We start from the raw sequence: 13,110 nt of genomic DNA, 5'->3' as shown, positions 1-13,110 counted from the left end.
GAGAATTGCTTAAACCCAGGAGGTGGAGGTTGCAGTGAGCCAAGATAATGCCACTGCACTCCAGCCTGGGCGACAGAGCAAGACTCTGTCTCAAAAAAAAAAAAAAAAAAAAGAACTACAATAGGTGGTCAAATTTCAGATGCAATAGGATTTAAAAATCTAGTTAAAGATTTGTAAAAGGTACATGCAAGGATAACCATTACAGAATTGCTTAAAGTAGCAAAATATTAGAAATAACTTAAAAATAACTTGAATGTCCATCAACAGGGAATTAGTTAAATAAATTATGGTCCATCCTACCATGGATTGACTATAAAGCAGCCCTTAAAAATCTAGAGATAAGGCCAGGCACGGTGGCTCATCCCTGTAATCCCAGCACTTTGGGAGGCCAAGGGGGGGTGGATCATCTGAGGTCAGGAGTTTGAGACCAGCCTGGACAACATGGTGAAACCCTGTCTCTACCAAAAATGCAAAAATTAGCCGGGCGTGGTGGTGCACGCCTGTAATCCCAGCTACCAGGAAGCTGAGGCAGGATAATTGCTTGAGCCCTGGCGGGAGAGGTTGCAGTGGGCCAAAACTGCGCCACTGCCCTCTAGCCTAGGTGACAGAGTGAAACTCTGTCTCAAAAAGGAAAAAAAAAAAAAAAGAAATTAAAAAACTGAGACAATTTTACCGGTACCGATAAGAAACCATCACAAGATGTATAAGATGTATGTGAACAAAGACTAGGTGCAGAACAGTATGAAGAGTTTGCTTCTATCTTTATATACAAGACATATATATATATAGATAGATAGATATAGATATGTTATATATATATATGTATAACATATATACAACCATATATAAATATATGGTTGTATATACGTGGAATATCTCTGAAAGGATATACAATTAATGCATCACTAGATATCCTTTGTATCATCTGAATTGTGTTCCATGTTTGTAGTACTTACTCAGGAAAATAGGTTAAAACCTAGCCACACAGCCTCAACTACCAGCAAAGTCTACAACAGAATGGGTGATGGTTATTATCTTCAATAGAAAAAGAGCGTTCTTCAAATGAAAAAAAGAAAAGCTTGCCAAAAGACAAATATTAATAGATCCAAGATTTAAAATTAGCATGTTACAAAAGAAATATGGCTAATACATTTAAAAAATATTCATCCTCCCTAGAAATGAAACAAAAATACAAAACCAAATAGTACCATTATTTTACCCATCAGGTAGGAAACTTTAAAACAAATTTTACACTTAATATTTGTACATGTATCTGAAACAAGAATGCTCATACTTTACTGGATAGAGTTGGCTGTTACCTTTTAGCCAGAGATACCAAATGTCTTAAAACATGTATACATGGCCCTTTTAATCTCACTCAGCAATGCCACGTCTAAGTACGGACCCTGAGGAAATAATGAAACATACAAAAATATGTATGTAATGGAGACAGATAGTAGTCACAGTTTTAATTATAATGGCAAGTCATGGGAGGCAAGCCAATGTTTACCAATAAAACATTAGTTAATAAATTATGATACAACCAAGTAGTTACTAAAAGCTAAGTTTCCAAAGAATATTTAAAAGTACTTTTTAAATGTTCACAGTACATAGGAGAAAAAAGGGTTAAAGAAAGAACTGCATACATATTCTGATCTCATAGGTGGGATCAACCCAAAGAAGCCTGGAAAAACATATACCAAAATGTTGAAATTGATTATTTCTGGGAGTAGATAACAGGTGATTTTCTGCTTTTCTTTTACTTTTGTTTTCTCTGAGATCTTTTTTTTGCATGTAATGCTTTTATACTTGCGGAGAGAACCATAAATGGTATTTTTTTGGGGGGGGGCGGGCGACCACAGAAGATAGAAAAATCTAGTTATGCTTTTTCATTCTTCCCATTTTTAGACTACTAACAATCAAGATACTTAAATCTATGTGTGAAAAAAAAAAGAAAATGTCTGGGGAGATTCTTTAGTAATAAAAATATTTATCAAATCTAAAAGGGTAGAAATACTGCTTTATTGGATAAACTTACTTCCAAATTACTTTCATGTTTTTTAAGAAGTCCTAATGAGCATTCAGGAAGAAAACATATACTGCTTCCACAGGAATAAGGACAAATAAAATGGGGTTGACGCCTGCCACAAATGATATTTCCTAAAAGAAAAAAATGTAATATTTAACCTTTCTTCTGTTGAGGCAAGGTAAGTTAACTGCATATATCATAAATAAGATTTTCTTACTTTACAAGAAAGGAGAACTGAGATCCTGTTTTTTGAATGCAAGTTAAATACAAAATACAAAATCCACTCTCTGACCAAGATGAGGGGAAAAAAAATCATCCTTCAACACTTCAATTCTCATGCAATGAAATCCAAAGGTCTGTTGAATCCACCTTTTCGATTCATGTACTGCCTATGATGAGAAGAGAAAATTCATTGTTTTTTTTTAATCCTATACTCCTCTTATAAAAAAAAAAACATGCATCAGAGATGAAAACTATAAACCATCTTTATAATAGCAAAGTCTAGGGTAGAAACTATTCAAGGTAATTTAATGTATATTTAGAGATTATTTTACTTTCAAAATAAACCAAAGACTTTCAGATTTCTTTTAACTCCAGATAGCAGTATTGAAGTTTAATTTTGAAATTATTTGAGAAGATTTACAGACTTAAAAAAAAAATCAATTGAAAATCCTTATTTATTTTAGGTAACACGAAACATATAATTTAGAAATAGAAAAGAGTTCCAAAACAGGCACCCATTGAGCAAATTCAATTGCACACTGTAATGATTCTCCCCCTAAGACCTTATTTGAAGGTAATTTTACAAAAGACTGTCCAAGATGATTCTAGTACCTTAGCTTATAGCATTTTCAATCACATGATTCATAATCTAAATTAACTGGACTATTAATCTTTTATCAGCGACAAAGTTAGAGAGAAAGGCAATGTTTGAAAATATCTTGACTTTTTCATTCATTAAGAATTCAGTGAGATTTCATGTATGGATTGGTTCGCTCCAAAACTGTGGTACAAATAAAATATGCCTATACTTAACAGAAGAATATATTTACAGTTGAAATCCTTACATAATCAATCTAGTTTAGGAGGGATCTATCTTATACCTAAATTATAATGAAATCAAAGCCCATAGACTTGAAATTATGCTTTTCTGAGGAAATTACTATCTATAGTCCTAAAATATTTAAGCCAACTACCCTCTCTCTAATAGCTATTAGCTTACATGTAAATGGGAAAACAATTTTAACACACCAGAATATAAGCAATGAATATTTCATTCAAACAAGGAACAGTATGGAAAACTGCTACATTTCCTACAAACATGATTATCTCATAATAAAGTTTGAAGTAAAAAACTGATTTATTAGTTCAAACATAATAATGGGGGCTATGCATACCTGTACTTCCTCTTCTGAGAGACATTTATGGCATAGGCATTTACAGAGCCATCCACCTTCTTACCCTGAAGAAAAACAATAAACAAACAGACAAAAAACAGGAAGGATACATTAAATCAGGATACATGAAAGCAGGTGTGGTGGCAGTGGCATGTACCTGTACTCCCAGCTACTTGGCGGAAGGCTAAGGTGGGAGGATTGCTTGAGCCCAGGAGTTTGGGACTGCAAGTAGCCATAATCACACCAATGCACTCCAGCCTGGGCAACTGAGCATGATCCAGTCTCAAAAAAAAAAAAAAAAAAAAAAGAAGAAGAAGAAAGGAGGAGAAAGGAAGAAGGAGGAAGGAAGAGGGAAGTAGGGGAGAAGCGGGGGCCGAGGGGGAGGAGGAGAAGGAGAAGCAGCAGAAGAAGCGGCAGCGGCAGCAGCGGAAGGGGAAGAAGCAGAAGAAAAGCAGAAGAAGAAAAGAAGCAGAAGCAGCAGTAGCAGAATAAACAGAAGCAGCAGCAGCAGAAGAAACTGAAACAGCAGCAGCAGAAGCAGAAGAAGAAGCAAGAGCAGCAGAAGGAGCAGCAGAAGGAGCAGCAGAAGAAGCAGAAGCAAAAGAAGCAAGAGCAGCAGCAGCACAAGCAGCAGAAGAAGCAGAAACACAAGCAGCAGAAGCAGAAGAAGCAAAAGCAGCAGAAGGAGCAGCAGAAGCAGCAGAAGCAGAAGCAGAAGCTAGAGCAGCAGCAGCACAAGCAGCAGCAGCAGCAGAGGAAACAGAAACAGCAGCAGCAGAAGCCGAAGAAGAAGCAAGAGCAGCAGAAGGAGCAGCAGAAGAAGCAGACGCAGAAGCAGAACCAGAAGAAGCAGGAGCAGCAGCAGGAGAAGCAGCACAAACAGAAGCAGCAGCAAGAGCAGCAGCAGCAGCAGCGGAAGTAGAGGAAGGAGGAGGAGGAGGAAGAAGGAGGAGGAAGGAGGAAGGAGGAGGAGGAAGGAGAAGAAAGAAGGAAGGAGGAAGGAGAAGAAAGAAGGGAGGAGGAAGGAGGGAGGAGGAAGGAGGAAGGAGGAAGGAGGAGAGTCCAATGAGGCAGAGATAATTTCCAGATCCTATGAGCTCCCAAGTGGTATAACTCTCTGCTCACATTTTTACAATCGTGTATAAGCAATTAATATTCAAACCAACAAACATTCACAGTGTATGTACTATGTGCAAAGCATGCTGAGAAAGTAGGGTAGCAGAATCTAATCTTTTCTGGTCAAAGAATACCTTGAAACCAGATAAAAGGTATAATCTCCAGAAAAACTCACATTCACACAAAATTTAACTTACAACCTTAGCTAATAATATTCTCATATCATGGCTGGAATGGTTGCCATTCATCTAAATCCCATTTCTTGTACAACCCTTGCAATTTTTTGTTCATTTTAAAAATTATTATTTTTTAGACACAGGGCCTCACTGTCGCCAGGTTGGAGTGCAGTGGCGTGATCATAGCTCACTGCAGCCTCAAACTCCTGGGCTCAAGTGATCTTCCTGCCTCAGCCTCCCGAGTAGCTGGGACTACAGGCACATGCCACCAAGCTGGGCTAATTTTTAATTTTTTTTTTCTGTAGAGATGGGATCTCACTATGTTGCCCAGGCTGGTCTTGAACTCCTGGTCTCAAGCAATTCTGCTGTGTTGGTCTTCCAAAGTGCTGGAATCCCAGGCATGAGCCGTTGTGCCCAGCCCAATTTTGATCTTTAAATCAAGAATCAGAACAGAATAACAGACACAAATGCTAGGTTGTTATGTGTTACTCCATCTTGACCTTTCTGAATGTAGCACCCATCCTCTTTTTCACAAATTCTTGTTCAGGTCTTCTGATCAGCCAAGTCAACTCAACATACCCACTTTCCCCCATGTTGTTCCTCATGCCTGAATTGCCTTCCCTGCCTCCAACTTGAACTATCTGGTTATTACCCATTGTTCAAGGCCCAATTCAAACATTCCAGGTGCCAGGAAGTGCCCTCTTCTCTAACTGCTGAAAAATGTTAACTGTGCCTTCCTCACAGTACCCTCTATTTCTTTCTTTCTTTCTTTTTTTTTTTTGAAATGGAGACTTGCTCTGCCACTAGGCTAGAGTGCAGTGGCGCAATCTCGGCTCACTGCAACCTCCGCCTGTCGGGTTTAAGTGATTCTCCTGCCTCAGCCTATCGAATAGCTGGGACTACAGGCATGCACCACTACGCCCAGCTAATTTTTGTATTTTTAGTAGACATGGGGTTTCATCATGTTGGCCAGGATGGTCTTGACCTCTTGACCTCGTGATCCCCCGCCTCGGCCTCCCAAAGTGCTGGGATTACAGGCATGAGCCACTGCACCCAGCCCAGTACCCTCTATTTTCTACCCTATAAAACCATGATGTACATCATAAAGTTATTTTCCCTATGAGACTGCAAGCTTCTTGATGGAGGGATATGTCTGAGAGTCACCTTTGCATTCTCACATCCTAGGTCACTGCACTCCCAGATATTCAGAAAATGACTTAGATGAGTATCATCAGCTAACGTCGTGACACATACAAGTGACCCCCACCTCCTCCCTCTCCCATTACTACTTATGCAAGATTAGCCTATCTGTGTAGTGTACTTAATTAGATATTGGTGTCAGGGCAAAGACCGATTCTGACCCACTGGCCAAAAGGCATACACAGACGAACAGTATATTTGAAGTGGGGCTAAAATAAATGTATTTGGTCTTACTTTTCTATTCCTATTTTCATGTATTTTTTTGGAGGTGGAAGGTAAGTCCTGAACAAATTACTTGTGAGGTATATGATTTTGAACTCCCTATAATAGGAAGTAAGCATGACTTAGAAAGACTGGTCTTGGGCACAAAAAAGTAAATGATGATAACCTTTTTACAAAGTTCGATTCCTAAAGGTTTACTGATTTCTGGAAACTATTTGCAGAATTGCATATTATTAGCCCTATCCTCATTTATTTACATGCTGGCATAGAAAATTATCCATTAATAAACAAAACCAAACTTTGAAACCATCTAGAAAAATGTTATTGAAGTAATTGCAGTTTTAGCCATTATTTTCAATGGCAAAAACTGTAATTACTTTTCCACCAATCTAATAAGATGAAAGGGAAAAGCCAAGCACATTGCTGTGAGGCTACAGTCCCAGCTACTTGGGAGGCTGGGGCAAGAGGATTTCTTGAGCCAAGGAGTTTGAGTACAGCCTGGACAACATAGGAAGACTCTGTCTCTTCAAAAATAAAAAAAAAAAAATGGACTGAGGCAGGAGGATTTCTTGAGGCCATGAGTTCAAGACCAATCTAGGCAGCACAGCAAGACCCTATCTCTGCAAAAAATAAAAACATTATCCTGGCGTGGCGGCATGTGCCTACTCTCAGCTACTCCAGAGGCTAAGGCAGGGAAATTGCTTCAGCCCAGGAGGTCAGGCTGCAGTGAGCCATGATCATACCACTGTACTCCAGTATGGGTGGCAAAACAAGACCCTGTCTCTAAAAAACTAAAAAATGAGGCCGGGCGCAATGTCTCACGCCTGTAATCCTAGCACTTTGGGAGGCCAAGGCAGGTGGATCCCTTCAGGCCAAGAGTTCGAGACCAGCCTGGCCAATATGGCGAAACCCCATCTCTACTAAAAATACGAAAATTAGCCAGGCGTGGTGGCAGGCGCCTGTAATCCCAGCAACTTGGGAGGCCAAGGCAGGAGAATCGGTTGAACCCAGGAGGCGGAGGTAGCAGTGAGCCGAGATTGCGCCGCTGCACTCCAGCCTGGACAACAGAGCGAGACTCTGTCTCGAAAAAATAAAATTAAAATAAAAAATAATACAAATAAAAAAATGAAAATACAATCAAATAGAAAGGAAAATGGGTGACTATACTGGCATATGAAGAGGTCCCACAATAGATCAATGATGAAACATCACAAGACACACATTACTTAAAAACACAAATGAGCTGACGTTATAACTGATAGCCATGAAGCCAACTGCATATAAACTAAATTGACATCCTTGTAGATGTCATTTTAAAAAACTGACATCAATTAGTGTGATGGTACTCCATAATTTTTTTAAGATCTATGACTTTTCACCTAAGTTTTCCTTTATAAGCAAACATCTTCTTCACTGACTACATTTAAGTGATGGGTGGCACCACCCTTAGATCTGACTTTCAGGAACTTTAAACCTAACATCCAGCAACAGGAAAACCAAAAAACAAAGAAAATAATTCCATTTTCTTTGGGGAAAAAGTTCCCTCCCCATTCTTCTAAAGACAATAAAACTATAGTTGCTTTACTTTTGACATATTTTAATTCACCCAACATATATCTTAATAAACTTACATTTCACCCAACATATATCTTAATAAACTTTCATTTATAAAATAGTCTTTGGAAAATAAATAAGAATTTAGGGCATTCAAGGGAAAAAAGCTGATAAATAAACTTCATTAAATTCCAAAACAGAGCTCACATAACCATTGCAAGAACAAGAGCTTGTTCTTAATTTCTCACCTCAAAACAGTCATGCCTCAGTACTCCTAAGTTACACACTGTCATTTTAAAACATGTGAGCCCTACACAGTCACATTAGTTAGAAAGAAACTTACAGCCACTGAGATTACCCCATTCCATTAGCAACTCAATGGAATACAAGACTTGGGAAAGTGGATTATTTTTGACAACTTTTTCTCAAACATCTCTATTTCCATTTGCAAAACTAAATGGAAAGACTTAAAATTCTAGAAAAGAGATTTTAAAAAATATGTTTTTCTTTCCACACACCCTCCCTCTCTCCATCCCCTCTCCTCTCTTCATTTCCTCTCTCTATACCCATCTCTCTCTTCCCCCATCTCTCGCTCTATGCTCTCCCTCCTCTATATAATCCCTCCCTCTTTTTCCTCTTCCCTCATCTCTCTGCTATTATGAAGGCTAGACAGCATTCCCTCCCCTATCCACCCCACTTCTAAGCTATGAGACAAGTATGCAGCTGCCCAATGTCATCTCTATCTGGCAGCTGGATTTTGTTCTTCCATTTCCCAGCAGTTCCCCTTCCAGAAACTCTGTTCTGGGTTAACTGTATCACTCAGGGTCCCAGCCTGACACCTGAGAGGCATTACTAACTACTCACTCCCACTTCCCCCAGCTCCTGAATCATTCTCAACTCAGTTCAGGCCTTTATCATCTTTCACTTGCACAAATCAGCAGTTCTCCCTGCCTTCAATCTAACCCACCTCCCATCTGTCCTCCATGCTGCCCCCAGAGTCATTATTCCAAAACACACATATAACCATGCCACTCCCTTATTTAAAAATCACTACTTCCTCTCCTCAACACCAAAAGAATAAACTCTGAATTCCTTAGCATGACTAAGGGCATCAAAAGCCCTCTGTGATTTGCCTCCTACCTCTATTTCTAGCCTAAGTCACTAGCCCATCAGCACCCCTTTATCCCTGGTCGAATCTGAAATTCCCACAATACACTATGCTCCTTTACACCTACATGGCATTTTCATGAGCTCTTCCCTCTACCTGAAATAATCTTCTTCCTCTTCTTTGTCTGATCACTTCTACTTGTCCTTTAAAATCTAATTCAAACATCGTCCCTGGCAACCACTCCCTGAATTCCAATGGCAGTTCACTGTTTCCTCCTTTGTATTCTCAAAGCCCTTCAAACAGATAGTTATTGTCTTATAACCAAATAAATTTGTATAAATGGAAAAGAACATGGAAAGATAGGACAGTCATAACATATTAATTCAAATGAGAATGTTGCACGTTTTACTTACTTTTGTGGAGTCAAAGGAGGCAAATCCCATTAACTTCATCATTTCTATTTCTTCCTCTGTTTTGCCCTCTAAGTCTTCCTCTGCAAAAAAGAATAATTTTGTGACCTCTCTATCATTTCAAATATATACATAAATAAAAAGAGAGGTGGTAACAGATTAATAGTCATTCCACCTCACTAGCAGAGAACACACAAAACAATTAGCTGAAGATGAGTCTAATGAAAAAATTCCTCTTACATTTGGACAGAATGTAACTTATGGTACAAAAAAAAAGTCCTCTCCTTGAAGCCTTTAGACAGGATTACCTTTTAAAAAAAAACCTGGGTTTCATATTAAGGACTACCTTTAATATCAGGCATGACACTATATAGTTCTGAAGACACTTCCAAAATAGAATATTCTCATGTTTTTAACTATCGTTCTATATCAGGAGCACCATAGATAACCAGCAACTTGCTAGGGTGCAATTAAAACAAAATCTCAGGCTGGGCACGGTGGTTCACGTCTATAATCCCAGCACTTTGGGAGGCCGAGGCGGGAGGATCACCTGAGGTCAGGAGTTTGAGACCAGCCTGGCTAACATGGTGAGAACCCGTCTCTACTAAAAATACAAAAATTAGCCGGGCATAGTGGCGGGTGCCTGTAATCCCAACTACTCTGGGACGCTGAGGCACAAGAATTGCTTAAACCCAGGAGGCGGAGGTTGCAGTGAGCCAAGATTGTGCCATTGCACTCCAGTCTGAGTGACAAGAATGAAACTCTATCTCAAAAAAAAAAAAACCAAAAAAAACTCAAAACCATATGCAATGAATACTATAAAAGGCTTAACATTTAAATGTTCAAGATTAAACTTTTATAATTTTATCATCACTGTACTTTTCCTACAGTTATTTATCTAATAACATTACCAGTAATCTGCCGTTCTTTGCTCTTTGTTTCTTTTGTTTCTTTCTTTTCCTCATCTCTTCTTTCTTTCAGTCGAGAAGGGGAAGGAGATGTGGATCTATGTCGTCTTGGAGATCTAATATTTATAAGCAAAGATGTTAGAAACAGACAGACATATCAACTTTGTATCAATCAGCACAGATATACATGAGGTGAGCTCCACAGAACCACGAGTCATTCCGTATAGCAAAGTGAGGAAAAAGGTTCTGCCAAGGCCTTGATTGTTAACAAAAAAATTTTTTAATGTAGTTTACTGCTTAATCATCAGTTGCATTCAGTACAACTAGGGCTAGAAAGCTTTCTGGAAGGCAGAAAAATGTAAATTAAAAGTTTCTAACAACCACACACAAATATACAAAAAAGCTGACTTAAACAGCAATTGATGGTTATTAAGACTCAGAGCCAGGTGGGGCTTGGTGGCTCACGCTACTAATTCCAGCACTTTGGAAAGCAGAGGCAGGAGGATTGCTTGAGCCTAGGAATTCAAGACCAGCCTGGGCAACACAGGGAGACCCTCTCTCTCAAAAAAAAAAAAAACAAACCAAAAAAAAGACTCAGAGCCCATTTCTAATGTTCTTCCAAGATCATCCATTCTTGATTACATACTTGAATAAATCATTATCACCAAAAAGTTAATAAAAAAGAAACAACAGGCCGGGTGCAGTGGCTCACGCCTGTAATCCCAGCACTTTGGGAGGCCGAGGTGGGTGGATCACGAGGTCAGGAGATCAAGACCATCCTGGCTAACACGTTGAAACCCCGTCTCTACTAAAAATACAAAAAAAATTAGCTGGGTGTGGTGGCATGTGCCTGTAGTCCCAGCTACTTGGGAGGCTCAGCAGCAGAATTGCTTGAACCAGGGGAGGCAGAGATTGCAGGGGAGGCGGAGGTTGCAGTGAGCAGATTGCGCCGCTGCACTCCAGCCTGGGTGACAGAGCGAGACTCCGTCTCAAAAAAGAGGAAAAGAAAGGAAAAGGAAAAGAAAAGGAAAGGAAAGGAACGGAAGAAAGAAACAAAAATATAAAATACTTATTTCTTTTTCTTGCCAAGCACCATGCTCTGGGGTTTGCATGCATTATTTCTTACTTACTCTTTCAAGACAACTTTGTGATGTAGAGTACTATTAGCACCATTTAACCAAGGTGAATGTTAGCTTTAGAATAAGGTTGGATTAAGTTTCCTCCATTTCAGGAAACCGTAAATCCCCTTATAAGCGATGAAAACAAAGTTAAGAGCTGCGACCAGTTTCTTAGGGACTTTCGGTAAATAAAACTCTTGGCTTATTTTCTGCCCTTACCGGGAGCGTCTTCGGTGCGGGGATCGCGAGCGGCTCCTTCTCCGATCTCTCTCCCGAGACCTGGACCTTTCTCGGCGCCTGCGTTCTCTCTCCCGGGATGTGGACCGGGAACGCCTACGTTCTAATGCAAACGCACACAAATTGCAGAACTGATAATTACCTCAAATATCTAGAGCTGCGCCGTCCAGTAGAAAAATAATGCAAACCATTACTAGTCACATTAAAAAGGTAAAAAGAGGCTGGGAGCGGTGGCTCACGCCTGTAATCCCAGCACTTTGTGAGGCTGGCGGGCGGATCACAAGGTCAGGAGTTCGAGACCAGCCTGGCCAACGCGGCGAAACCCCGTCTCTAATAAAAATACAAAAATTAGCCAGGCGTGGTGGCACGGACGGGTAATCCCAGCTACTCGGAAGGCTGAGGCATGAGAATCGCTTGAACCCAGGAGGTGGAGGTTGCAGTGAGCTGAGATCGGCCACTGCACTCCAGCCTGGGCGGGCGACAGAGCGAGACTCTGTCTCATTAAAAATAAATAAATTGATTTAAAAAAAAAACGAATCAGGGGCAGAACCGAGGGTCTAAGTTAGATCTCCTAATGGAAGTCCAGGGTTCTTTACGTCGCGCTGCCTCATTTATGGGGCTGGTAGCCAGAAAACATTACGAAGTGAGCTCCCAGGACTCAAAATTCTTAATATCGATTTCCCTGTAATGACCTGGGCAGGAATCTAACATTTATTAAGTATTTAAGAACCAGGCAGAATCACATACTGTATGTTATGGGATGTGACATTAATTCTCACATCAGTTTTTAAAAGTTGGCAATACTACCCTCAATGACTCATTCTGGGAATTCGATTCAGAAAGGCTGAGTAGTGACTTGCCCACCGTCGCCCAGAAATTCAGCAAAGGAACTGAGGTCTAATTCTAAACCCACCGGCCACAGTGTAATAAAAGTTATTGTATGAAGGTGACAAAGACTTAATGAAACTAATTCAGAGACAAACAACTGCCTTCAAACCGGAGAGGGCGGGCTGAAGAGGGCAGGGCCCAGGTCTACGTTCCTTTATCCACCCCTCGCTCTCCGCCTGGGAAAAGGGCCCGCCTCTCTGCTACGCGGCTACCAAAAACAAAACAAAATAAAACAAAAGGGACAGGCCTCCAACAGAGCCCCATATCCTCCGAATTGCTACAGGACTCACCCCTCCGTGGAGAGCGGCTGCGACTGCGACCCATTTGGAGTCCCGCTTCCCGGAAACAACTGTGCAACAACTTCCGGGAGGGCCGGGAACCGAGCTTTTACCGCCGACCAGAAAACGTCAAAACGAGTTGCGAGGGTTCCGGTCTTCTTTGTTCACGGTGGGCATTAAAACATGCGATTTGGTGTTATTATAGAAATTCCTGGAAAATTCAGCCGTATACCCATTATCCTAACACAGCTTTCATTTTTCCCCCATTTTTGTCCACATGCACAAAATAGAGCAAACCAATTGTAAACATAGCATAGACAAACAGCTTATGTTCTTCCACTTTTCCACATAACATTCATAAGGAGTGAATATACCAAAGTTCACTGTCCATCTGCTTTATATTTTCTCATGCCAGCATTGAGAAGGCACCCAAAACCTCCTATGGGCTCTTGGAAGGAAAACTAAAGGC

At 40.3% G+C, this 13,110-nt stretch overlaps 1 protein-coding gene across 2 annotated transcripts, besides 3 other annotated features; it reads right to left on the bottom strand.

The window, feature by feature from the left end:
- Positions 1-1,435: 1,435 nt before the first annotated feature.
- On the bottom strand, positions 1,436-12,716 carry SNRNP27 (small nuclear ribonucleoprotein U4/U6.U5 subunit 27). Of its 2 annotated transcripts, NR_037862.2 has the most exons (7): positions 12,654-12,716; positions 11,458-11,578; positions 10,124-10,236; positions 9,216-9,295; positions 3,427-3,491; positions 2,247-2,418; positions 1,436-2,160 (listed from the first exon to the last, which is right to left on the bottom strand). NR_037862.2 is itself a non-coding variant. In NM_006857.3 (6 exons), exons 1-6 carry the CDS (start codon positions 12,685-12,687, stop codon positions 2,364-2,366), a joined length of 468 nt encoding a protein of 155 aa, NP_006848.1. In that variant the 5' UTR covers positions 12,688-12,716; the 3' UTR covers positions 1,436-2,363. The 2 variants fall into 2 exon arrangements, 1 of the variants encoding a protein (NP_006848.1); NM_006857.3 differs by having other exon boundaries at positions 1,436-2,418.
- Positions 11,221-12,155: an enhancer, noted in NCBI's record as "NANOG-H3K27ac-H3K4me1 hESC enhancer chr2:70121649-70122583 (GRCh37/hg19 assembly coordinates)". NCBI's record gives its function as "activates a minimal SCP1, AML or CMV promoter by ChIP-STARR-seq in naive H9 embryonic stem cells {active_cell/tissue: H9 hESC(naive)}" and the evidence as "EXISTENCE:reporter gene assay evidence [ECO:0000049][PMID:30033119]".
- Positions 12,156-13,091: an enhancer, noted in NCBI's record as "OCT4-NANOG-H3K27ac-H3K4me1 hESC enhancer chr2:70120713-70121648 (GRCh37/hg19 assembly coordinates)". NCBI's record gives its function as "activates a minimal SCP1, AML or CMV promoter by ChIP-STARR-seq in naive H9 embryonic stem cells {active_cell/tissue: H9 hESC(naive)}" and the evidence as "EXISTENCE:reporter gene assay evidence [ECO:0000049][PMID:30033119]".
- Positions 12,354-12,413: an enhancer, noted in NCBI's record as "active region_15979". NCBI's record gives its function as "activates an Ori minimal core promoter by ATAC-STARR-seq in GM12878 lymphoblastoid cells {active_cell/tissue: GM12878}" and the evidence as "EXISTENCE:reporter gene assay evidence [ECO:0000049][PMID:35858748]".

The sequence above is a fragment of the Homo sapiens genome, chromosome 2 (assembly GCF_000001405.40).
Source record: "Homo sapiens chromosome 2, GRCh38.p14 Primary Assembly".
Taxonomy (NCBI): Eukaryota; Metazoa; Chordata; class Mammalia; order Primates; family Hominidae; genus Homo; species Homo sapiens.
This window is presented reverse-complemented; position numbering and strand designations above follow the sequence as displayed.

Excerpts from the sequence above, each read along its gene's own strand:
- SNRNP27 (NM_006857.3), bottom strand. The coding sequence starts at position 12,687 with ATGGGTCGCAGTCGCAGCCGCTCTCCACGGAGGG. Across the intron at positions 10,237-11,457 it reads CCGCACCGAAGACGCTCCCG|ATCTCCAAGACGACATAGAT; the intron begins GTAAGGGCAGAA and ends TATAAATATTAG. Across the intron at positions 9,296-10,123 it reads CAAAGAACGGCAGATTACTG|AGGAAGACTTAGAGGGCAAA; the intron begins GTAATGTTATTA and ends TCTTTTTTGCAG.